A 27900-nucleotide genomic window follows, 5' to 3' on the forward strand; every position below is an offset into this window, starting at 1 on the left:
TTTGCCCTGTTCCATTGGTTGGAAGCAAGTCACAGGTGCTATCCACACTCAAGGGGAGGGGATCACACAAGGGCATGAATGCCAGGAGACAGGTGCTATGCAGGCCACCTTAAGAGTCTGTATGCAACACTCATCTATTTTAATGCTTAGAAGATTCAACTTTAGTGCAAGAATGACAATGTTGATTTGAAAAACATGAAAAAAATTCTCCCTTCCACATTTGCCTTTTTTCCCTACCTCAGTAAACAAGCACTGGCTCTTTTGAGGTATCATTTTGAAATTACTGCAAAAATTAGATAGACATGTGTCTATAATTCAAACTTAAAAATAAATTCTTTTTCATAAAAACATATCTTGCTTATAGGGCCACTACCGAATAAGTGTGTCAAGTTCTAGTTTTCTTAGTGCTTCATTGGTGGTTGGAAGCTGCTGAGAAGAAAGTACGACACTGTCTTTCCATGGTTCTTTCACTGCAGCCTCCCACAGGAAGGAGATACACATCACTGTCAAATCCTGGACTTGCCCTAATTTGGGGACTCCCATGCCTCAGGGTCCAAAATGGACCAAATACTAGTCCCAAGATGACATAAATTACCAGCTTTGTGGTGAGGCAATTATTTTATCTTAATTTAACATTCACACACTACCTTTTCTACAGGCTTTAATAAATTATAGAATTGCAGGCCTTGTGAATTTTAGATATAATCATAACTATAGATGATGCCATATGTGATAGTATTAGGTTAAAGAGAGCAAGAGACTGCCAAAGGCTAAACTAAAAAAATTAAAACTAATGAATAGGCATGATACTTGGAATTGTTGACACTGAGTTCACCTTTCAAATTTTAAGGCCACATCATCCATTTATTTTCTACCCTACTGCCATACAGTACTTCAATAATATGATTTGAAGATTACTAGTAGTATTATGAACCAACAGCTCACATTCCCTATCACTTTTACATTTTCAAAACACATTTATAACTGTTATCTCATTTTAGAAAAGTAAAAATAGAATCAAGTATGATTAACTCCCATCATTTTTCAATAGACATTTTAGGTAAGTAAAAATGGAATCAAGTACGATTTACCCTCATCATTTTTCAGTCTTTCTTATAAAGAAAGTTTTATCTTTCTTTTGCAATAGACATATTAATATTAACACCTTCCCTTCAAAATTCAGCTCCAACTCCTTGGTCAGGCGAGGAGGCCTTCTGAGAGTCGCACTATACTTGCTGCCATATCCCTCTGCAGACTTAGTTGTTTTCAAGTGTGTTTTATCTTTCATTTGCTTGATGAGAATCTCATTAAGGGAAGGGATTTAACTTATGTTTATTTTTGTTGGTATTGCTCCTGTAATGCCTCATAAGTGCTGTTGTTCATAGAAGCATTCAACAAAGACAGCCAATGGTCCGACATTTAGCCACTGATTGAAGGATCTTTATCATTTCAGAGAGACTTCTCTTTATACCCTAGAGGCAGACTGAAAAAATGCCCACCTCCCCAGGATGAATTCACTTCTGAATCCCCAGAACCCGTAAATATTATCTTTTATGGCAAAAGAGTGACTATTACCATATATGGCAGAAGAGTGACTATGACCTCTTACATGATCTTGAGAAAAGGAGCTTGTCTTGAACTATCCAGGTAGACCCTAAATGCAATCACACATATTCTTGTGAGAAAGTGGCAGAGGAAGTTCTAAAGCACAGACCCACAAAAGAGGAGGAGAAAATCTGTACATGAGGGTAGAGACTGGAGTGACATGGCCACAAGTCAGGGAATGCCAGCAGCCATCAAAAACTGGGAAGGGAAAGGGACAGATTCTTCCCTAAAGCCCCCACAGGAAATGGGACCCTGCTGACACTTTGAGGTCAGCTCCATGAAACTGAGTTTGGATTTCTGACATCCAGAACTCTAAGAGAAACAATAAAATTTGTGTTATTTTAAGCCACCAAGCTTGTGGTAATAACACGACAGCCACAGGAAACTAATACAAGCCCCTAACCCTTGATCCTTCCTTTCTCCAATCAAAAACAGGAAAAGACACTGTGTCTCTCCCTCCACTACCCACTTGCCCCCAAATCTAGTTAAATTTTGTCTCCATGATGAATGTTTTTGTCCAATAAGAAAAAAATATCTTTGTAGTAGATTCCCATTTGTGTGGCATTTTATAGCTCAAGCGCTTTCCCAAACCATTTGATCCTTCAACCATACTGTGAGGTAAACAGGGCAAGTACTATTACCTCTCAGTTTCAGGTTAGGAAAGCCTGCAGAGAGAATAAGTCACCCTAAGTTCACAGAGCTGGTTAGGAAAGGAAACTAAGACTTCCTGAGGCAGCCACAGTCTCATCATAACATTGTGAGGTAGAGCTCACTGTTTTACAGATGTGGAAACTGGGCCTCAGAGAGGGCAAGTTACTTGTCCAAAGTAAAACAGGCAGTAAGTAAAGGGATACCTGGGTCTATTTCCCAAGCCCATGAGCTTTCCACATACCATGCTGCAGGCTAGAATACAGCCAGGTTATTGCCATAATGAAAATATACTAGAACAATAATCACATAGCTAGTATGTGCTTGGCCCTTATAACACATCAGATACCATTTTAAATGTGTCATATCCACTAACATGTTAGTCCCTGCAACAACTTATCAGGTGGAGACTATTAGTTATTGTAGTATGCTGAATCATCCACTGCCCCGCGATGCCCAGAACCTGTGAATATGTTACCTTACATGGTAAAAGGGACTTGTAGATGCCCTTAAATCAAGGATCTTGAGAAGGGGAGAATATCCTGGATTACCTAGATGGGCCCAAGGTAATCACAAAAGTTTACATGAGGGAGGTAAGAAGGTGAAAGTTAAGAGATGTGACCATGGAAGGAGAGGGTCAGAGACAGAGTGAGCCTTGAAGATGTTACACGCTGGCCTGCAGACAGATGAGGGGCCGAAAGAGGAGGCATGCAGGCAGCCTGGAAAAGCTGAAAAAGGCAAGGTCTCTTGTGGCACCTCCAGAGGAAGTGAGGCTGTGCTGATACCTTGATTTTGGCATGATGAAACCCCTTTCAGACTTCTGATCTCTAGAATGGTGAGATAATAAATTTGTGTTGTTTTTATAAAGTCACTAAGTTTGTGGCAATTTGTTACAACAGGAATAGGAAACCAGTATCATTATCATCCCCATTTTACAAATGAGAAAACAGAAGCACAGGGAAGTTAAATAACTTGCTCCAAGGTCACACAGCTGCTAAATGGCAGATCCAGGATTCAAATCCAGGTAACCAACTCCAGACCCTGGTTTTGGTATCTGAATTTTTTTTTTTTTTTTTCTGTTTTGATTTTGTGAGACAGGGTCTCACTCTCTCACCCCAGGTTGGAGTACAGTGGCGTGATCATGGCTCACTGCAGCCTTGGCCTCCTGGGCTCAAGCAATCCTCCCACCTCAGCCTCTTGAGTTGCTGGGACTACAAGCATGTGCCACTACACTTGGGTAATTTTTTTATTTATTGTAGAGATGCGGTCTCACTGTTTTCTATGTCACGCAGGCTGGTCTCGAACTCTTGGGCTAAAGCAATCCTCTCGCCTCGGCCTCCCAAAGTGCTGGTATTACAGGTGCGAGCTACGGCACACAGCTTCCTCAGGAACCATCTGAAACTATTGCTCAAAAAAAGTAATATCTGAATTTCATTGCCACCAGCTACACGGCTATGTAGAAATGCACAATAAGCTGCTGTTTTAACTCTACAAGGTGACACTAGGCTCGTTTTTTCCAGGAATGCTGATTAGTTCATGCTGATTTATTCACATTAGCATTATGTTAATGTTATTTATATTTTTATGGACTTAGAGATATCTTACATTAGCAACTTCTCTCAAGAATGACAAGAGAATGAATGATTTGACTCTTGTCAGCCCAAGATTGAAGGTAAGAGTCATGAAGCTCTTCTCCAAATGTCATATGTTGGCCCAATCAAGTTCCCTGGACATATTTCAAAATTATAACAGCTAATGAGTATATGCTTTATGTGTGTCCTCACAAGCAACACTTCAAAGCCGGTATTTCATCTTCCATTTACAGAATTAAAAACTGAAACTCTGAGAGGTTAAATAACTTTGCTGTGGTCACACAGCTGGAAAATGGAAATGGTAGAATCATATATCACTGAGATGTATAGTATGCTCTTTCTAGATTTCACACCAAGGAGTCATGTTGCCCTTTGGGACGAGCACGGTACAAAACCCAGATTTTCCTCTTACTTTCTAAGTTACTTAATCTCCTGACGCCTTGGTATGTATAAAACCAGGATAACAATAGTACCTACCACCTAGACTGCAGTAAAAACTAATTGAGTTACACATGTAAAGTGCTTGGCAAAGTCTCTGGAATAAAGTAAGATATTTATTTTAGTACGTGTTTGTAACCATTTTTATTATAGATTTGACTTATAAGTTAGACTTTCCTCAATCATTCTGCACTACCTCATGTTCCATCCAGACTCACATTTGGAAAAATTTTAGGTTCTGCAAAAGATCAAGACAAGTTGTGAATTGAGACAAGTCACTTCTGAGGCTTGCACTGGGTACACTTAAGACCTGTACACCTTGCTACTAAATCATTTTCATGCTTAGAAAATATCAAGAGGTCATTCAGTTCATCCTCAAGTTGTAGCCTGGTCCCTTCTGAAATTCTTACCTTAGTTTGCAATACCTCTAGAGAAAAATATTTTATAGCTTCCTGTGGTAATCGATTCGAATGTCAGACTTGGAGAGATCAAAAGTCATGAGCACAATGCCTTATGTTTCACTTCAGGTTGGAGGTCAGAAAGACATAAAATGCTATCTACGACCCTCCTATAGAGACCTGGGTTATTTACAAAGGGGTTTCTTAAATTTCAGCTGACATTCATCCTTCTAAATCAATGCTTAATATTGTATTCATTCCATCCTTCCTGGGAACCAACGAAAATCTCAACTTAAAAACTGGATTTTTTGTTTATGAGAAAAAAAAATACTCTGCTTTTAGAACTGCACAACTTAGTAAGGAAGTGATTTAGTGATTTACTACAGAGTGATCCCTGGTAATGCAGTAAGTTGGGAGGAGGGGTACTAAGCTGGTTATAGTGAGGTGTTGAAGAAAATATCCAAATTATAAATATGGAGAAACAGATTCTACATCATGCTTCTTTATTTTCTGTTTCTCTGGCCTTAGGCAAATCTTTAAAAATGGAAAACTAACAACTAACCCGCTAATTGGACAGGCATATTATGACAATCAAGTGATATCCTGGTAAGTAAAGTGCATCAGTGACTGTAAAATACTCTCTAACAGGTGGTTCCCAGTGGAAGATCTTTGATGCTATCAAAGTTAAAGTCTCTGACCCATGATCCTAGCAACATGAACACAGACACCTAAACTTTCTGAGTTCTTTTCAGCCCCTGCAGCATGGAGTTTGTGTTGAGATGTGTTCCTCCTGGTGGCTCTTTGGCTTACAGAGACTCAGTGATGGAACCTACCAACTTAGGGCAGAATCTAATCCTAGAATTACCAATTTCATGAAGCCAGTTTCTCCTGTAAACCTGGAGCCCATCTCTGCAGGATGCAGCCACCTCCCTGCTGCTGCCACAAGACATGGTGTTAAGGAAGGTGTTTGATTCAGTCTTGAGTGGTGCAAAGGTTGTCTAGTTTACAGGGGCCCCCGGCTACGGTTCTAAAGTAGGGTGTGTACTCTACAGTGGCCCTTCTGGAATATCCAGCTTCCACCACTCTCTTTATTCTGGCATAAGCATGAGGTTGAATTTGCTTTTCTTCAGAAGCATTCCCATATTTTTAGCCACTCTTCCCTGGGCTCCAAATGAGAAAGTCCCCACCATTCCCCAGCATACAGATCCAGGTCTCCTCACATTACTCAGGCATTCTGCTCCATTTCTCTTATTTAGCCCTGGGCTGAAGAAACCAATGGCTACTCATGGGGTCTGCCTTTCTCCAGGGGAAATGTGACTCTCTTCTGTGCCACTGGATCCAAGTATCTACCACTTCCTCTCTTCTTCTCCCCTCAGCATCCTGAGTTCACTCATAACCTTCAGACTTGTACCCCTTCCCCACCCAACACTGGACCCTTATCACCAACTTCAAACTGAATTATTTTGATTGTTGTCATCATTAATATTGGAATTTAAAAATCAGCATGAATTTGGGTACTGTGTGTAGCCAAGTAAAACAAGTCACAACATTATTTATCTATCTCTTACATTAAAAAAGAAAGTGTAAGAATTGAAAGTAGAGGGAAAAGCCTTAATAGATAAGACAAAATATATCAAAGGCTTACAAATGTGCTAGCTATTAAAAAAAAATTTAAAAGGATTATGTTGGCCAGGCACTGTGGCTCACGCCTGTAATCCCAGCACTTTGGAAGGCCAAGGCGGATGGCTTACTTGAGGTCAGGAGTTTGAGACCAGGCTGACCAACCATGAAACCATGAAACCCCGTCTCTACTAAAAATACAGAAAAATTACCTGGGCAAGGTGGTGTGTGCCTGTAATCCCAGCTACTCCGGAGTCTGAGGAAGGAGAATCGTTTGAACATGGGAGATGGAAGTTGCAGTGAGCCCAGATCGTGCCACTGCACTCCAGCCTGTGCAACACAGCGAGACTTCATCTCAAAAAAAAAAAAAAAAAAAAAGGTGGGGGGATTATGTCATTTGATCCTCATACAGACTAATGAGTTAGGTATTATAACAAGTGATTACACTGAGGCTTTGAGACATTACCTTCCCACGTGTTACACAGTTACTGAGTGGCAAAACCAGGACTCAAACCTTTATATTGTACTGCGTCTGTGACAAAATCAAGCAATCAAGCAATGGTCTTTCACTCCTCGCTGATAGCTTAGTATGTGCATGAGAAAACAGTGACTCAATTAATACAGATACAAGATAAAGCACTGTAAAGGCTTAAAAACTCTAGGGGAAAATGAAATTAAGGGTCGCCCTTAGGATCAAAGAAAATCCAAGTTTTACTTAAATAGTTAATTAATCAATAGTACAGTTAAAAGCCAATATGTTATCATTTTCGTATGTATTTCCATTGCATCTGCTTCAAACGTACTTTAAAGTGCCTGAGGTTTGCCAATGACTTACATAATTGTAGAAGAGGCATGCAATTGGCTGGAGTGTATGGATAATTAAAAACAGCCCTTTTATGGTGATTTTTTTGGATACAATACCAAAGGCATGATCCATAAAAGAAAGAATTGCCTATAGTCCATAAAAGAAAGAATTGCCTATAGAATTGCCTTGGGAGGCTGAGGCAGGAGGATTGCTTGAGCTCAGGAGTTCAAGGCTATACGAGCTATGCTCACACAACTACACTCCAGCCTGGGTGACACAGCATGACAAGACTCGTCTCTTTAAAAAAAAAAGGGGGGGGGGCAGGAGTAGGGGAGGAAAGAATTGATAAGCTACACTTTATTAAAATTAAAAATTTCTGTTCTGAGAAAGGCACTGAGAAGAGAATGAAAGGACAAGCCACAGACTGGGAAAAATATTTGCAAAAGACATATCTAATAAAGGATTGTTATCTAAAACATATAAAGAATTTTTAAAACTCAAGCAGAAAACGAACAACCAACCAACCAAATAAACAAACAAACAAAACAACAGATACTTCAACAATAAAGATACAGAGCAACAGGAACTGTCCATTCATTGCTGATGAGAATGCAATATAGTATAGCCATTCTGGAAGAAGTCTGGATATTTCTTACAAAACTAAACATACTCTTACCATTTGACATAGCAATCCCAGTCATTAGTATGAAAAAAAGTTGAAAACTTATGTTCACATAAAAACCTGCACATGGATGTTTATATCATTGCCAAATGTTTATATCATTGCCAATTGCCAGAACTTGGAATGTTTATATCATTGTTTATATCAATGAAATGTTTATATCATTGCCAATTGCCAAAACTTGGAGGCAACCAAGATGCCCCTCAGAAGGTGACGGGATAAATAAACTGTCATACATCCAGATACTAGAATACTATTTAGCACCAACAAGAAATGAAGTATTAAGCCATGGAAAACCATGGAGGGAACTTAAATGCATATTACTAAGTGAAAAAAGCCAATCCCAAAAGGCTGCATACCATATGATTCAAACTGCATGACACTTGGAGAAAGCAAAACTAAGGACAGTAAAAAGAACAGTGATTGTTGGGTGTTGGGGAATGGACAGGTGGAGCACAGGGGACCTTTAAGGCAGTGAAATCATTTTGCGTGATACCCCATTGGTGCATACATGTCATCATACATTTACCCAAACCTACAGAATGGACAACACCAAGGGTGAACCATGATGTCAACTATCAATTTAGGTTCATCAGTTGTAACAAATGTGCCACTCTGGTGGGAAATGTTTATAATGGGGGAGGCTGTGTGTGTATAGGGGGAGGGAACATATAAAAACTCTCTCTATACCTTCCACTTAATTTTACTATGAACCTAAAACTGGTCTAAAAATAAACTCTATTTTTAAAATAATAGCTCTTTTATGTCATTCTACGATTACTGTTGGTAAGGACGTAAGGCTCTAATAAAGTAGCAAATATGACATGATTGTTTTACCCTCCTGCTGTGTTTCAGGATCTATGATATAATCATAGACAAAACCCACCTATGATATAATAAGTAAGCCTTCCTTATGGACAATGTTGCTCAAAACTCAGCATCTCTAAATGCTTGGAGAAGAGTTCAAGCCCAGGAACCTCACAACCTCATCTCCCTCAAGAAGATGCCTGCTTCCCCCAGGCCTTAACTGGCTCCCATACTTCCCGGGCCTTTATCCACAGCCCTTTTATATAAGCCAGCTACTTAGTTCATGGGAGCTTTCAAGCAATGACATAGTGGCAATTTACATTAGCATGCTCTTCTATACATCTTTTAAAATAGGCCATAGCTCTTGGAGTAGAAAGGTCACTAAAAGAATTCCCCCAACCACCCTCCCTTAAATTGATTTCACTAAATTTAGAGAGAAAATACACAAGTGTGATACATTTTTTCTGCCTGTGACTCTCTAGGCTTACACATATCTTTTAACTTGTACACAATAAAATAATGAGAATACCTTCACTAGAAGGATGAAAGACTGGTATTGATATAAAAAATGCTTCCATTAATAACATGGATTAATGGCCAGCAGCAGTACTTGGTGTCCTCCTTCTCTAGTGTTCACATTTATGAACTTGAAATGAGTACTATCATTAATAGGCCTCATTTACAGGCTGGCAGCAGGTTGCCCCACCAAAAGCAGAAGTGATGATTAGTTCATTTGAAGAGGAGGATGTTTAGAGCTCACAGAAAGCTGGACTATCAAAGAAGCACACCTCTCTTTCAAAGAAAGGAAAGGTACATTCATGTTGTTGTTTTTTTCCCTCTTCAAAGCTTGTCTTTCAACTGGAGGTTGGAGAGAAGGGAATGCAGGCTTTTAATCCAAATGATAATTGCTGTCAAACAACCTAGTCTGAAATCATTTTCATTATGCACTGAGTCATCAGGATCTGTCATTTCTATTTTTCCCCTAAACTTACTGCTCATGGCTTTTCTCTTTCTAAGAAAAAGTTAGAAGTCTTTATTTCTCATTCAAGTTAATTTAACTCACCTTTACTGAGTACCCACTATGAGCCATAACAGGCCTGCGGGATGCAAACATAAATAAGACACTGTTCTAATCTTTGATGCCCTCACATTAGAGTAAAGGAGAGAGAGATTTAGAGAAGAGTTGCATTAACAAAAGTATCTAAAACCTACAGAGACAGAACAATGAAGCAACTGATTGACTCTATTTGGGTGAGTCAAGAAGACTTCAGAGGGGAGAAGGTGTCTCAGGAAACCATTGATGTGCACTCGGTATGCTTTCAGAAAAGGAGGGCATTTCTCCAGACACAGCAACATGCACCAATGCCCACAGGCCTACTGTAATTAGCTCAGTGTGGTATGTGTGCAGCAAAAGTGAAATGAGGCTGGGGAAGTTGGCAAGGGAAAAATAATGAAAAGGCATATTAAGGAATTTATATTTTACCTTGCAAGCAATGAAAGGCCATTGAAAAGTTTCTAAAAGAAAAATAAGACAAATCTATATGACTTTTAGGAAAATTACTCTGTTGGTGGTATAGAGAATAGGCTGAAGAAAGTCTGTAGGGAGGTAGTTAGAAGCCTATCGCAATGGTCCAGGCATAGTTGAATGAGGATGCGAGCAAACACTGTAGTGGAAGGGTAAAGGAGAAAGGTCAAATGTTTAAGTCTTAGTAACAGAATAAAGAGGAAGGTGTCAGGGATGAGTCTCTAGATTTTACTTGGGCTATTTCAGAATGGTGGTTAAAAAATCCAGCAGGAGGCTGGGCGCGGTGGCCCACACCTGTAATCCCAGCACTTTGGGAGGCCAAGGTGGGCGGATCACCTGAGGTCAGGAGTTCGCGACCAGTGTGGCCAACATGGTGAAACCCTGTGCCTACTAAAAATTAGCTGGGTGTGGTGGTGCATGCCTGTAATCCCAGCTACTCCAGAGGCTGAGGCAGGAGAATCGCTTGAACCCGGAAGGCAGGGTTGCAGTGAGCCGAGATCAGGCCACTGCACTCCAGCCTGGGCAGGTGACAGAGAAAGACTCCACCTAAAAAAAAAAAAAAAATCGAGCAGGAGAACCAATTTTGGGGTAAAGGCAATGAGTTTATTCTTTCCAGAATGGCAGTGGGTGAGTTATATTCTCCATTACTCTATCATTGGGTACCATTTGTTTCTATGATTTTTAGAGTACCAATTCTAATAACTTTAAAAATATTTCAAGTGTTTCAAAGTGAAAAAGCTCAGCAGGTGATTGGTAAAATAGTTACCAAATACCAAGATGAGGTTGGAACATCAAGATTACACTAATAAGACAGGAGTCTCTTGCCTAGAGTAAACACAGGAGACGCAAAACTCTGATCAGACAAGAATCTTGCCAGCAGCAGAGGCACAACACGCTCATTCACGCATGTGAACAAATCAACTTAGACATAATAAAGCCAAAGAATCTGATGAGGAATGTTTGGGATCAGTGACTGGGTTAAAATAATAGTAGAGAAAAAGTACAAGGACAGAGCATCACCCGATAAGGGGGCACAATGTACTTTGATTTGGACTGATAAAAATAGGTGAGTTGATTCAGGTAATTCTTTTTGGTTTGGTAGCAGTGGTGACTGGGCAAGAGAGAAAATGGAAGAGGTTAAAAACAAGAAAAGCCCACCAAGTAAGAAAGGATGACAGAATAGGCACAAGGATCACAGAATTGTCAGAGTGAAATATTGGGGTCGGAGATAAAGGCAGACTTCTATGTAGCCAATTTTAAACTTAGCGCTGAAAAAGACATTTTAAAGGGCAAGTCAGAGTAGGGGCAGAAACAATGAGCTGCCTTGATCACAAATACTACAAGATCTCTACCACAGACTTGAATGTTTTATAGCAAACAGCAATGAAATCAAGACACTAAGGGCTTGTCACTGCAATACTGAGCATTATCATAGCGACTATAGCTATGAAAAAAATTAGACTAATTTGAATTTAATTCCCAACAGATTCATATTTCAAATAAAAACACAAAAGGAAACAGAGAAAAAATGAAAAAACCCTGCATTTATTGAACAGAAAAACATCCTACCATTTGGTGTCAGTAAAAAAATGGACATTTGAAATAATTTAGCAAGCAAAATTGCCCAATCAGTGATTCTGGAGTCCCTAATGAACCTATTAGGGACCATTATGGGAAAATGAGTATACAGATGCAGATGACTCCTATGTCACCTACTTATGAGGTCAAACTGTAATAGACATAATTCTATGAGAATTATGAGAATTTTCAAAATGATTTAATTCTGCAAGTTAATTGCATGCAGTATTCATCTGTGAGTTTATTTTATAATTTGCATACACACACTAATGCCTCAGTCTATGCACATGCTAATATATATGATATGAAGACTCACAATAGTATTAAGAAACACCTGAAAAATTCCACTCAGTCAACTGAGTTTCGGCAGCTGTGTAGCATGAAAAACAATGAAGAAAGATATCCCCAAAGGGATAAGCTTGGGCTTCAAAGGCCAAAAAAGAAAATAGGAATTGATAGCACAGTGGATTCCAGAAAAGCATATTAATAGTCTGCTAAGTGACATCTTATTTATGAGAACAGGTATCCTACCTGGTCAGTCTGGGAGGGTGGACAAAGAGTTCAGCTCAACAAGTATTAATGGCACTTACTCTGTGCAAGGCACTCTGCTAAGCGCTTCAGATTAACAGAGAGCCAGATGGATTACCATTCATTGCCCCTCTGTACCAATCTCTCTTATCTCCGTATTGTCACCATTTATATTTGATAAGTGTGTTTAATAGATACTATAGGTAGCCATTATAATCAATAAGGTTGCAAATTCAATAATTTAATCCTTGACCCAAATGGGAAATTATTTTAACTTGGATATTTGTATTCCCAGGCTTTGGTCCTGCACTGCTGTTTCATGGTTTAGGCTTATAAATTCAAGCCCCATTCAAGCCCATAAGTGCCTCAAGCTGCAGCTACAGCTACCTCAAGCACACAAGATAAAATGTCCCATCAACATGTAATTAAAGGAAAATCTCTACTACTTGGGGATTTAAAATAATAATAATAATAGGCTTCTGATATTGATTGCCAACTGAAGCAAACTTGAGGCTTTCCATCTCCAAAGTTATTATTTCAAGTATAAAGCAGTGGAGGTTATTCTTATTAAGGAACAATAATGAGCTATCAGTTTGGGGTGGTGGCTTTTAATCACTAATACAATTGTGAAAACCCAACATTTTTCTAATGTTAATCTGCTGGGGAATGACTACAAAACAACGTAAGAGGCAACTTTTAAAAAAGAAATATTTGTCCTAGACAAGAGCAGGGAAGGAACAAGATCATTAGACAACGACAGTAAGGGCTGCACTGTTAATGAGGCATATGTAAAAATTCTCCTAGCTGATTGGTTGACATTTTTCTTGCCAGTGATGTTATTATTCACCTTATAAAGTGAATTCATTTTACATCAGGGCATAATATTAACTCTGAAATACCTAAGATTTTCACACTACTGAGCAATCTATTTAGACTGAAACCTACTGAACTCCTACTGTGTGCCAAGCTTGATAGAACAAGAGTCCCCAAACTCTCTAACTGGTCATTTGGGCTGCCTGAGAGGCAGAAGAGAGTAGGAGTTATGTCAGCCTCTGGCCCTCTATTGCCTGACTGACAAGGTCAAACATGCACAGACAGCCCAGTGAGCCTCTTTTTGTTTTTAAAGGGCAGGTCACTCAGCTACTATTTTCTAACTGGCTAACATATTTTTAAAATCCTTTTGAAATTGAAAGAGTTTCCAAGTAAAATAAAAGACACTCATTTAAATGTGAATTTCAGGTAACGAGGAATAATTTTTTAGTATAAGGTTATTTCAAATACTAAATGGGATATACTTCCATTAAAAAATTATTTGTTTTTTCTGAAATTCAAATTTAACTAAACATCCCATATTTTTATCTGCAAAATCTGGTACAGCTGAGGTCACAAAGATATAAGGAAAATCCTCAGGGTGGAAGTGGGAAGCAAAAATGAACGAAAATCTGAAAATCTGAGTGACTGGCATAATGTAGACCCTTCCCATGTGTTTGTTTCCTCTTCCCTTTCTCCTTCTCTCTTTTCTTGTGCCTCTGTTAGTCCTTCAAGGGATACCAAGAAGTGTATGTCCTTGTCCTCAGAGAGCATACCATTAATAAAACAAATACAGTCATGTAATAAAAGATGATATGTGCTAGTATTGAGGAATAGGCTAGAAGCAACTTTCTATAAAAAGAGAGAGAGAGATTAAGTATAATTAAACATATATCACCATCTAATAAGCAAACATTGTTTAAAGTAATTCTAAAACACAAAGATGTGAGATGAAGCAGGGCACTGCACAGCATTTTTTGATTATTCAAGGCATTCTTCAATACATATTTTTGAGGCATGCTCTTCAATTCCCTACGTTATTTTCTATAGGTATGAGCTCAGTCTCCTGCCTTTGTAAGCTGGGCTCAAATCTCAAGTCTCAAGTGGGGTTTCATGAAATATAAAGGTGTGGCCATAAAGGTGGCCACAGTTAGCTGACAAAACAAAGCAACACCACCAGAAATTGAGGAGCCATACCTAGAACCTAAAGAAGCCTTTATCGCTTCACGGGGGCATCTTGGGGTAAACATCCTCCTTTCACAAATGCCTAGCACAAGGCTTATATTTGCCTATTCTGTAAATCACATTTACAAAGGCAAAGTAGGCAAAATACTTAAAGACACACATAATAAAAATACAGATTTTAAAAATAAAACATAGGACCAAAGTTTTCTATAAGCTTCATAACCCTGGCTATTTTCACTTGCCAAAGTAAGATCAGCAATGATTTATCTACCCTTGCCCCTATGCCCTCCCATTATGGAGATTAATTTCAAGTACTTTGATGTCAGTCCCCTTATTGAGGACATATATATTGTATAAATTCTTTTTCTAAAAACTAAAAGTATATGCCCATGATAGAAAAACATTTTAAATGAATAAAATTACCCAGAAAAAAACAAACATCTATAATACCTGCTGATAACATTTTTGTATTTCCTATTAGTTCTCTTCTATACGTAACTCATATAATCAAGATCTTATTGTTATGTATAATTTTATATCCTATATAAAATTTTATATATACAATATAGAATAAATGTTACCAATACAATTGTATATTGGAAGGATATATCATGATTTGGTTAATCAAACTTGTTCATTTTAGTAAGATCTGTTTCTGGAGCAGACTGTCTGCTGGATCCCAGCATCTCCACTCACTGTTGTGTGGCCTTTAGCACTCCCTGCCTCAGTTTCCTTTGGGTGTTGTTATGAGTCTTCAATGAGTTAACAGTAAGTATTAACACTTACATAGTGCCTGACACACTATGAATGCTCAATATTTGCTATTAGTATTTTTGCTATTATGAAAACATTATTTTGTATATCTTTTGGGGATAAGAAACTAGAAAAGTCATAACAAAAGTATAGATAAAACAAAAATGCCCAATGGGACTGATAGGGATGTCTCTGATACTGTAAGAAATAACATTTTGCATCAGTTTCCAGTGTTGAGCATATAATGGATACTCAATTGATGCTGAATGAATTAATTAATGAATCAATAAACCAATGTTTTTGAGTTTAGGGTCAAAGATGCATTTTTATTTATTTCCATGTGTAAGGTGTGTCTCTGGAAACTGAAACAATAAAGTACAGGAAGCCATCAGCTGCTTACGTTTTTAGGATCAAAGAAAAGGTATAGTCTGTAGGACCCCTTGATATAATAGAATGAAGGTTGTTAAAGTTGTCAAAATATCATATACATCTGTATTTGAAAAGAGATTAATTCATCTGTTTAAAAGAGCTTTAAACTAAAATTGTCAAGAAAACACCTTAAAAGAACCTGAGAAAATATCTAGTAATAGTGTAGAGAAAACAATAGCAAAAAGACTGAAGATCAAACCTCCTAAGCCAGTTCCTGAAGAGTATACTACCATTTCTCAATTAATAAAAAATGCTTAAGGATAAAGAAAACAATTCTACTTATAATAACATCAAGAAGAATAAAATGTTTAGAAATAAATGTAACCACTTGTACACTGAAAACTAAAAAACATTGCCAGAAGAAATTAAAGAAGACACAAATAAATGACAAGGTATCTCATATTCATGAATTGAATATGAGAATGAAATTGAATGTGAGGGTTTATTTAGGAGCTCCTTATTCATGATTGTTTTGTCTATTTTGGGTTCTTTGATATTCCATATGAATTTTAGCATGGATTTTTTGGTCAAATTCTGCAGAAAGCACTGTTGATATTTTAATAGGGATTGCATTAAATACAAACAATCATGAAAAGACTAACAAATCTGAAGATCTCACACTTTCCAGTTTCAAAACTTATTACAAAGCTACAGTAATCAAAACAGTGCTAGCATAAAGAAAGACACAGAGGCCAATAAAACAGAATAAGGAATGCCCAAATAAACCCTCATATATATGACCAAATGATTTCAACAAGGGTGTCAAAACCATTTCATGGGGAAAGGAAAAACTTTTTAACAAATAACATTGGGAAAACAATATCCACATGTAAAGGAATGAAGCTGGACTCTTACCTTACACCATATATAAAAATTAACTTGAAATGGATATAATATTTAAACATAACAGCAAAAACTATAAAACTCTTACAAGAAAACTCAGAGAAAAAGTTTTATGACATTAAATTTGAAAATGACTTCTTGGATATGCCACCAAAAACATAAGCAATAAAAGTAAAAATAGATAAAATTGACTACATCTTAATTAAAAGCTTCCATGCATGAAATAACACAATCAACATATTGAAAAGTCAGCCTTTGGAATGGGAGAAAATATTTGTAAATCATGTATCTAATAAGGGGTTAATACCCAGAATATATAAAGAATCCTACAACTCAACAACAAAAATCAACCTGATTTTAAATGGGTGAAAGACTTGAATAGACATTCTTCCAAAGATATACAAATGGCCAATTAGCACACAAAAATATGCTCAACATCACTACTTATTACCCAGAATATATAAAGAATCCTACAACTCAACAACAAAAATCAAACAACCTGATTTTAAATGGGCAAAAGACTTGAATAGACATTCCTCCAAGGATATACAAATAGCCAATTAGCACACGAAAATATGCTCAACATCACTACTTATTAGGAATACGCAAATCAAAACCATGAGATACCACCTTGGACCCATTAGGATGGCTACTATCAACAAGAACAACAACAACAACAAAGAAACAGAAAATAACAAGTGTTGCTGACGATGTGGAGAAATTGGAACCTTTATGGATTGCTGGTGGGAATGTAAAATGGTACAGCCACTATGGAAAACAATATGACTTCTCCTCAAAAACTTAAAAGTTATTATGTGCTTCACAATTCCACTTCTGGGTATATGCTGAAAACAATTGATTGCAGGGTCTTAAAGAGATATTTGTTCCCATGTTCACAGTAGCATTATTCACAATGGCCAAAAGATGGAAGCAACCCAAATGTCCATCAATGGATGAACTGCCAAATAATATGTGTACATAGATACTTAGATATGATGAAATATTATTCAGCCTTAAGAAGGAAGAAAACTCTGACAGATGCTGTAACATGGGTGAACCCTGAGAACATTATGCTAAGTGAAATAAACCAGTCACAAAAAAAGAAATATCACATGATTCCATTTATATGAGGTTTCTAGAATAGTCAAATTCATAGAGACAGAAAATAGAATGGTGGTTGCCAGGGGCTGAGAAGTGATGGGAATGATGAGTTAGCGCTTAATGGACATCGACTTTCAGTTTTGAAAGGTGAAGTGTTCTAGAGATTGGTTGTACAACAATGTGAATATACTTAACACTATTGAACTGTACACTTAAAATGGTTAAGATAGCAAATTTCATGTTATGTATTTTACAATTAAAAATAAAGAAAGAAATGCACAATAAAAATGTTTAAAGATCAATATAGGGTCTGGGCATGGTGACTCACAAATATAATCCCAGCACTTTGAGAGGTCAAGGCGGGTGGACCACTTGAGGTCAGGAGTTCAAGACCAGCCTGGCCAACATGGTAAAACCCCAACTCTACTAAAAATACAAAAATTAGCCAGGCGTGGTGGCACATGCCTGTAGTCCCAACTACTCGGGAGGCTAAGGCAGGAGAATCACTTGAACCTTGGAGGCAGAGGTTGCAGTGAGCCGAGATCAGGCCACTGCACTACAGCCTGGGTGACAGAGTGAGACTCCTCTGTCTCAAACAAAACAAAACAAAAGATAAATATAGGAACATTTGATAATACATGCTTTCTGGTATTAATTTTTGCATTCCACTTCTATTTAAATCATTTTAAAGTTCTGTCTTCCCAAGAAAACTGTAATTTTTGTGGGCTCAGGGACTGAGTTCTATGATCTGGGTACACTGCAGACTTACAACGTATCTTTGATAGCTAACTGAAATAAAATTAACATAATAATGTTGGACTAATCTTTTGAGCCTCAAACATTAATACTCTTTATACTAGCTGAGTATAATCAGTAGGTCAAGGAGAATCTCTATCTTGCAGGAACATCTATTCTGAAAGACAGAAAAGCCTGAACAAGAGGACTCTATATAATTCTCTTAATGAAGTGCACAAAGGACTACTGGCATGTAATAAACTCCTTACCTACCAGTCCTTCGAGGGTGGAATAATTTGGTGTCTAGGTAGTCTAAACCTCTACTCCTACTCCTCTCCCAGAAAAACTGTCTGTTTCCATTAAACTGGAATATTCATCATTGTCCAAATTTGCATCACACATTGTGCTTCTGAATCTTGATTCACACTATTTCTCATGCCCGCTATTCTCTTGCTTCAATCCAACAATGCTCACATCTCCCTCCCTGCAAGAAGTATTCCTCATCAAGAGGCTTTGAAGACTGCCATCTTTGGTGATTACTATCATTTATAATTTTCACTTGCTAAGATTTTTAAAAGTCTACTCTATACCCTCCTTCTTCAATGAGATCTAGTCACCAGTTCTAAACTGTACATTTGATTGTCTCCTTGACATTTTCCCTTGAACATCTCAAAGTCACCCTAATGTCAACATGCTCCGAATTGAAATTATCCCACAATCCAGGGCCTCTTCCAGTTTTGTCTTAGTGAATGGACCCTTTTAGACAAGCTAGAAATATGAGTCATCTTCATCCCCACATTTCTCTTATCCCCAGTATCTGTCATGGAATTCTGTTGATTTTATCTCCTAAATATTTCTGCATCCACCAGTTTCTTGCTGTCTCATCACTAACCTGGTCCAGCATTGTTTTAATAGGCTTTACGATTATTTAGGTATGGCAAAGCCAAAAGATCAGGAGATGACTAACACCGAAAAAATAGTTCATTTTGGAGGCTATGAATATGTTTCTTACCTTGATTGTAGTGATAGTATCACAGGTGTGTGCACATGGCCAAAATCATCCAATAGTATACATTAAACAGGTGCAGACTTTGTGTATCAATTCTACCTCAATAACATTGTAGTTTTTAAAAGACAATTTATTCTACTTATAATTCCCAAGAAAGGAGTACATGTCACACCACAGGGGGCCATGTGGGGAAACACCTGGGTCAGCCACGGGGCAGAGGAAGAGGGGGGACCTGTAGGCAGGAGCCTTTACTGTGGTTTCCATAGGAAAGGATGAGGGAGGCAGGCTAAAGAGGCTTAGGACTGGCTAGTTTGAATGACATCAGTGGACTCTGGAGCATAGTGGCTTCCCTGGTTGTCTGGCATCTGGCCCTGGCATAAGTAGGGTAGGTGGATAGTAGTCCAGAGTAGGAAAGTCCAATAAGGGAGAAGGATGGAGGCGTGGAATTAATCAGCTGCTCCATAAGGGGAAACCACTGACCTCTAGCCACTGCCTCAAAACCAAGGCAAAACAGCATTTTAAAAACTGTATTACAAGCCATCTGAACCTGCACTGTTGACTTCAATAGCCTCCTAAAAGTGTCCCAGCTGTCATTCTCTTCCACTGTCAACTCCTTCACCCCTGCTTCAAATCCTTTAGGGGTTTCCTGTTTTCTTAAATACAACATTTTTTAACAGGGCTACAAACCCCTGAATGATCTGGTCCCTTCCTACTTTCCCAGGCACAGCTGCACCTTGCTTCCTCTAGCCACAGACCTTAGGTCTTGTCTATATATGTATATAATTTGTTATTTACTTCACAAAAAGGTACTTCCTGCTGAGAAGATATTAGTTGTAAGGGGCTTGATGAACATCTTTAATCAATTCCAGCTATATGCTTTAATTTTATTTGGCAAATTGAATAATGTTATTTAACTTGTATTAATCAGATGTTGCTATCCATTACACATATAGTACTTATGTATGTCATTAATGTGAACTTTGAAGGTAAAATGGCCGATTTCATATGAAGAGTAGGTTTCAGGTAGACATGTTAAAATTTGATTGAGTCTTATAATAAAAATTTTCTGTTCAAAAAAATCCCTGTTCCTAGGAACTTTATGAGTGAATATAGCCACAAATTCTGCTTTAGAATGTGTCTGACACACACATTAGATTCATAAACACCCTCAAGACCCAATGGTGGCTGGGTAAATGGTAAAATGGTAGTTAAAAACTCATTTCAAGATGAAATTCTTCCTACAGCATTTAAACTGCAGATACTGGATATGAGTATGTGTTTTAATTTCCTTTTTGTTGGCACATTATCATTGTTTTAGATAAAACATTTATTTAAAAGGCAGCAAGTGATTTTGATTCTTGCATTGGTCATAATTTCTCTCATTAACTTGAACATTTTGATTTATGTTACTAGGGGATAGGACCAGTCATAAGCATTATGCTTTATATCATATCCGACTTTCAAATACCGTAATGCTAACATCATATTAAATCAATAGTGGGCTTTGTAGAACAACACAAAGCCAAGTTGAAATTTGTAATAATCTTCAGTTCTTTCATTTCTAAATCTTTAATCATTTTTCCTCATTCTTCTTCCCTCCTTCCCTTTCTTTTCTCTCTCTCTCCCTGGCTCTTTCCCTGTCTCCCTCTCTCTTTCCACTCCTCTTCTCTCTCTTCTTTCTCCTAACATTAATGCATTAAAGTGAGTCAGTCATTCAGTACTTCAACAAGAAGTTACTGCACATTTCCTCTATGATGAACACTATACAGGGCCCTAGGAATAAAACAGTGAATAAGACAGAAAATAGTCCTATCTGTGGGGAGCTGACAATCCAAAGGAGTGGCTGACCATCCAACAATTACAACCCAGCATGGAAAATCTATGGTAGGTAAATTCTGGGGTACTCTGAAAATACATAGGAGGGTAAAATAACCTGAATTCATGGGTCACAGAAGGTTTCCTGGGAGAAATAATATCTAAACTATGGCATAAAACAATGAGCTATATAGACATTTCTATTCATTTAGTCAAAACTTTAAATAAACAGTAAAACCTAATTCACTGCATTCTCAAATTACAACTCCCTACTCAACTTTTAAAATTCATTTCAAAGGCACTTTTTTCCCTAGGTTCAAAATTTTGTATTTCTTTAAATGAAAAAATAAGAAAACTGATTGAGAGTCAAATTATGGGTATTCTGACTCTACCCAGTTCCTTCACCAACCTCTGTGTCATACTGAGGAATTCACATCAACTTTCTTGGTCACAGTCCCAAATTTATAAATGAGAGGATGGCAATTGATGGGCTGCTTTCCGGGATGGGATTCTGATTGCAAGTCTCTGAAACTTTCTAGGCCCAGTCTTCACTATTTCTTGCATTTTATCCACCTAGGTTCTCCCAACTGTACTCCATCCTGCATATTGCTGCCAGGTTCATCCTCCTAAAGCACAGTTCTGTCACTTTTCTGCATCCAGCATATTAACAGCCCGCAAGACAAAAATCTGAACTCTTTCTGCAGCACCTCTTCTCCCTGGCATGAGCTTTCTACCTTGGACAGCTACAATTCATACCTCAGTGCTGGACTCACTCACACTTGCTCCTTCCTGCTAAGGAGACCTTGTCCTCTTCTATCTGGCCATAACCATTTCTTCCATCTCCTACAAGGCTCATCTCACATCCAAACCTCCTCCGTGAAGCCTGCACAGGTCACTCCAGCCAGCATCAATTCCTTTCTCTCTAAACATCTACTTCATCACTTATTTTGAAACATCCTTTTTATTATCTAACACTGCAATCCATGTTATTTTTCACTACCTAATGATACTGCAAATTCTGTTAGATCTTAAAAATCCTTTTGGCTGGGTACAGTGGCTCATTCCTGTAATCCAACCTACTCGAGAAACTGAGGCAGAAGCATTACCTGAATCCAGGAGGTCAAGACTTGCAGTGAGCTGTGTTTGTGCCACTACACTGCAGCCTAGGTGACAGAGCATGACCCTGTCTCAAAAAACAAAAATGAAAAAATCCTTTTATTTACCTTCCTTCCTCACCCCCACCTCAATAGCAATGTGAAGCCCATACTATTTGCTGAATCAAATGAAATAAATACATAAATGTTTACCTGGTTTCTAAAAGGCATGTGGGCTAGCCCAAGAGTAAAGAGACCTGACCTGAAAGAAACAAAATATTTCCTACATCTTCAATCTGTCCCCCTTCTTCACTTTCAAGGACCAGCTACCTTTTGGCTGGTAAACATATTCTAGTGGAGAAAGCACATGAATAGGAGCCCAGTTCAATTTCTGGCTCTGTCGGTCTGCAGCTGGAGAGCTCCAACCCAGTTTCTCAGTCTTTCTGTGCCACAGTTTCCTCTTTCCTCATCTACAAAATGAAGGATATCGGTCCAGAAAATATTCTTAAGTCCCTTTTCCATGTTTGACTTATGGAGATACTTACACTTTATAACCCAGAGCACATATAGCTAAACAGAACGGTAATCGGTTAAAGAGAAAGGCAAAGTGAGACAAAAGGGGAGATGAGTTATATTACAAATCTAAGAGTCAAAAAAGAATTTAGAAAACGATTTTAAGGGTAAGGTAACAGCTTATCCATTGAATACATTATTCCTCTAGGAAGCTACCTACACCCCTGGGCAATCATGAAGCAATTTAAACTTTAGTTCTTTTATACAGTGCTTCTTATGAATCCAGATGTGGGTTCCTGAGGTGGGTACATCATTTTCAAGATGTTGGAATACTTCTGGATTAGAATGTTCCTCTGTTGAATAATGAAACTGTATTGTAAGACTTAGTAAACCATCAACTTACTGTATTTTCAGGTTGCAAAGTTTTTATGTTGTTTGGTTTTAACACTTTATAAGAATGGACCTCACATTTTCTATCTTGAAGTCACATATCTTGATGCAATATTGGCCTTAAATGGGAAAGCCATGTAATAGAAACTAATTGAACATTTTCACTGAAACTAGAGGATGTTCTTAGGAACACCAAGAGGTACCTCTTAGATGTGTAGGACATCAGATACACTCCTACAAGGGGCACTACAGTTGACCAACAAAGAAATTCAGAGCACATTTTCTCAAAAGTACATCTTTCTGATAAAAAAGTAAATATATTTATTTACTATTTTCAGATAGGTATCAGCCAGCATGTAACCACATACACACACGGCTAATATATCTATCAACTGATAGATTAGTTTGTTCTCATTAATATGAATGTGACCTCTCTCCTGGTAATGTCTCCTCTTTTGGGCTTCTTGGCTTTTAAATTTCACTCCCTCGTTTAACATCTCTGAGCCTGGACTTTCTTATCCCAATAACTAATAATGCAGCTAAGGTATCTAGTATGATATCTGGGATCTTTTATTGATTGAATGATTTATACTGACTTCATTCCAAAAGTGATTTGAGGTAAATACTCAGCAAATAGTAGGCGCTGAATAAATGTCAGTTTTCTTCCCCTTTTTCCTTTGCTTAAATCACCCCTAATTTTCTTGAGAACAAAGGATAAGCTGAAAGGCAAGAGAAATTTGGGAATAGAGGCCATAGAGGTAATATGTTAGTAAGCATTAGCTGTTCCTTTTCAAAAGCTTCATCATCTGAAAGACGGCATCCTTTACAACACCATTACCTCCTACACAGGACATCTGGAAAGTGGAGACGGGGCTGCACAGTAAAAGCACGAACATTGGTAAGTACGTTGCTCTACTATAAAAGAGGAAGTTAGAGGCAGGAAAATGCTATCATGGCTAGAACAGCTGTCTATCCAAGAGCTCAGCAGCCCAAAGCCAAAATATAGAGTTTTATTACAATTACATTTGAAATTTATATAGCCTTTTTATACTGCAAACAGCTAACCAAATCTTCATCGTGCAGGTTTCAGTGCTAATTTGTAAGATTTTACCAGCTGGACCTTTCTAGAAGTAAACATGATGCCATGGAAATCAGAAGGCACAGTCACTAATCAGTTCAGTGACCTGGGCATGCCAACTTTACCTCTCTGAACTCAGTTTCTCCATTTTACAAATTGGCTCATTTAAGTGTCCTGTCAGCTCTAAAATCCCACAATTCCATCTTCTTAGCTGTGGAAACTGGGTAACTTAACCAAGCCTCTGATAGTGTATGGCTAAGCAGGATCTTGGATCCTCATTTCTTCATTCTCTGAATTTTAAAGGTGTTTCTTCTTTGTAGTAAATAAGCAAAGTGTTAAAAAGGCTGAGCACCTTTTCTTTTATCCCAAATCACTTGTAATTTTTAAGTTCTGTCATTTTTACAGATCATAAAACTTTATCAAAAGCCAACCTGTCATGATAGTTCACAATATTTACAATTCAGATTTTGGCACAATTAATATTCCTTTTCCTCATCACATCATCATCCATTATAGTTGTAATCTATAAATTGATGGGATAAAATTTCAATTAAAAAATCCAATTGAACTTTAGGGGTTTACAGTCTTCTATAAATAGAGCTTTTGAAGGGGACTGAGTTAAGGCTGTAAAGAAAGATGTCTATAAAAATACAAATTCATTCTTCCATTTCTGGAAATCTTTTTGTACCTACTTTAGTCATAAAAATTATATTTTACATTAACTGTGCCAGGAAATTTTTTTTCACATACAAATTTGATATCTTTCCAAAATTGCATGATTTGCTTTAAAGCAGGAAAGAGGCCAAGATTTACTCGGTGTGCTCAGTTAGCAGCCCTCCCAAGAAGTTCAAACTGAGGTCAAACTTTTTAAAAATGTCATTTAGAATGAGATTCGAGTAGAGTATAATCTCTTAGTACCACCTGAGTTTAGTTAGGAAAGATTTTTAAACACCCCAAAAAATAAAAAAATGATTAGACACACTAACAAAGTGTGTATATATACACACATATATATGTGTATATATGTATATGTATATATGTATATATGTATATGTATATATGTATATGCATACAGGTATATGTATATATGTATATATGTACATATATAACATTCCATCAATTAAAATAAATCTGGATTTCTTCAAATCAGTATAAATTTACATATATTTTATAAATATATATTTTGATAAAATGTATTTTCCAAATGCCAATTAAATAGAGATGTCAACTCTAATGATTTTGAAACATTTACTTGTTACATTATTAATGGGAAATCTGGGCCAATTCCCATGTATTTCTCCTAATGCCAAAAGATATAAAATGATTCCATTTATAATTCAGAGCCTGGAGTCACTGCAAGTAAAACAGTTTTACTGTTAAATATTGCAAATCATTAGTGCTATCAGCATATATGCCTTTGGAGAATAGACTCACATTCTAACACAGACCAGCTTCCATTTATTGCAAGCATAAGAGTAAGTAAAACATGCCAAGCTAGCAGAACACATCTTAACCCTCTCAGGCAATTATTCTCCTTGTTTAAGTTTCCCTCAATAAGCATGAAAAGTAACAGACAACCAAGATGTTATGAGCTTGGAGTGCATGTCTCATAAACCAAACGTGAGGAGCTTTTTCTTCCGACTGTAATTCTCAAGCAGAAGAGGTTTCTTTATATGAACACCAGGAAACGGAGATTTTAAATCCCTAAGTTGCATGGAGCTTGTGAACTTTCAGGATGCTCCAATAGTTCCTTAAATACTCCCAAATCTTTCTCATGTGGGGCAAGCTTTTTTTTTCCTAAGCCTTTATCATCTGTCAGCAGCCAGTGATGCATTAGATATACGGCTTCATTTCTATAACAAATGTAAAAGACATACCCAAAATGAATTATAGAGAAACTAGCAGGGCAAACTGTTTGACTGAACTTCATTTTTGAAAATTTATCTTTTTTTCTCCTTACATAATCAAAAGCTCAAGTATCTGAGGGAGCCATTTTAACAACTCTGCTCTTAAGTAATAATTAAATCTGCTGCCGCACAGGAGTTCTGCATCTTTATAAATGTCAACCCCATTCTGAAGAATCCAAGCTGCTCCCCAGCAGTTTGAACACCACGTTTATAAAGATATAAGATTTTGAAATGTCTTTTTCTCACTTATACATTTATAAATCATGAGCCAAAGTTAAATCCCAAATCAAGTGTGTACCAACAATTACTGGCATGTATTCTAATAAGAGAACCCTTAGCAAATTAATACGAGTAAACACTATATTGAGGCTGCAGAAAGATATAAATATCTGAAGTTCAGTTACACTTAATTTTATAAGGATATAATTTGACAATTCTTGAATATGATTGGTTCCTATCAATGAATTTTTCAAACCTATACACAATTATCTTTTTAAAGAATAGATACTAAAAATAGGTTATTTTTCTGATTCACAAGCTCACTGAAATATGTCTGACTCTATTAAGGTTAATAAATAATGAATCTTTTCACTCTCTTTGGGTTGATGGGCATAAGAAAAAAATAAGGTAAGGGAGAATTTATGAGCAGGAGATTTATTGAGCACTTTCTAGATGCCAATTGTTAAACACTAGGAATATAAATAAGGTACAGTTTGCACCTTTAATGTGCAATCTTGGGAGGGGACAGACAGATAAACAGACTGTATCAAAATGAAAACGTGCGACAAGACAGAGGACACACAGGCGAGGGTGAGGAGGAGACAGGGAAGGCCTCCCAGAGAGGAAAGGAGTTGCAGGATGGAGCAAGCAAGGGCATAAAGGTCAAAGGAGAGGTAAGTTTAGGGTGACTGATTACAAAGATGAGAATGGTGGTGAGGGACTAAATTAAGCCAGCTCACAGACAGCCTTGTACGCCTCAATAAGGAGTTTTGGATTGAGGAAAATGAGAGCTTCTGAAGGATTTTCAGTGTAATTTAGATAAATATTTTATGTTAGTTACTCTAGGAATGGTGTGGAGGGGGGCTTTGCTGGAACTAGAATTTAATAAGCAGCTATTATATGCCAGGTTCTTATAATCTCATTGAATCCTCACAATAATCTTAGACTTCATTATCTCCAATACATGGCTGAGGAATAGAGACTTAGAGAAATTAAGTGATTCAGCAAGATTACACAGTTGGTAAGTATAATAGTAAGACAGGAATTAAAATGCTGCCTGGTATGCAAACCCCAATTTTTCCAACTATATCACCATGTTGCACAAAATCCAAAATGAAACGTAAACAACCCATGCTTCATGACTAATACATGGATGCTCTTATAAATTAAGATAGAAGTCAGTGTTGATATAAGAGGAATATGTAAAATGGGGCCAACATTACTATACACACTACCCTATACAGCAAATAACATAGAGAAACCCCAAATACTTTCACTATTGAGTTCATATCCCATGGCTCTTTGTAAAGAGAAACTACTTACTCTTAAATTACAGTGTCCATCTTTGTCAACATCATTACTACTTGAAGTGATGTTTTCATGCTATTCTTCCTTTTCTATCTGCTTATTATTTATTTATTTATTTATTTATTGGCGTGTGTGAGGAGTGGGGAGCTGTCTAGCGGAGAAACCAAACTAGTAATCAAATGTCTCAAACTACATTACCAGGTCATTAAGCCTAAGTTGGAAGTATTAGGCTTTATCAGCTGCTATTGTACACATGAGGCACATTATATAACCAATCAAATGCTATTAAGTCACTTTGAAGGACATCACTATTTTCTCAAAATCAAACTACCCTCTAAGCAAGTTGGTTAGAAAAAAAATAGTCTTCAGAGTGTTATAGCTGGAACTATGTAGAGCAAGAATACATCTTTGCATTGTTTGTTTTGTGTCTGTATGCCCACTTCAGGGATTCAATATTCCCACTTTATAGATGAGAAAACTTAGGG

The 27900-nt window shown here is 37.4% G+C and overlaps 1 protein-coding gene across 7 annotated transcripts in view, besides 1 other annotated feature; it reads right to left on the reverse strand.

The window, feature by feature from the left end:
• Positions 1-27900, reverse strand: part of GRIP1 (glutamate receptor interacting protein 1) — a 721908-nt gene that overhangs the window by 480089 nt on the left and 213919 nt on the right. The gene's annotated exons all lie outside the window — the stretch shown is intronic.
• Positions 2802-2972: a silencer, noted in NCBI's record as "fragment chr12:67224101-67224271 (GRCh37/hg19 assembly coordinates)". NCBI's record gives its function as "represses an EF-1alpha promoter that drives an FKBP-Casp9 reporter gene in an ReSE screen in phorbol 12-myristate 13-acetate-treated (for megakaryocytic differentiation) K562 erythroleukemia cells {active_cell/tissue: K562(+PMA)}" and the evidence as "EXISTENCE:reporter gene assay evidence [ECO:0000049][PMID:32094911]".

The sequence above is a fragment of the Homo sapiens genome, chromosome 12, assembly GCF_000001405.40.
Source record: "Homo sapiens chromosome 12, GRCh38.p14 Primary Assembly".
NCBI classification, from domain to species: Eukaryota; Metazoa; Chordata; class Mammalia; order Primates; family Hominidae; genus Homo; species Homo sapiens.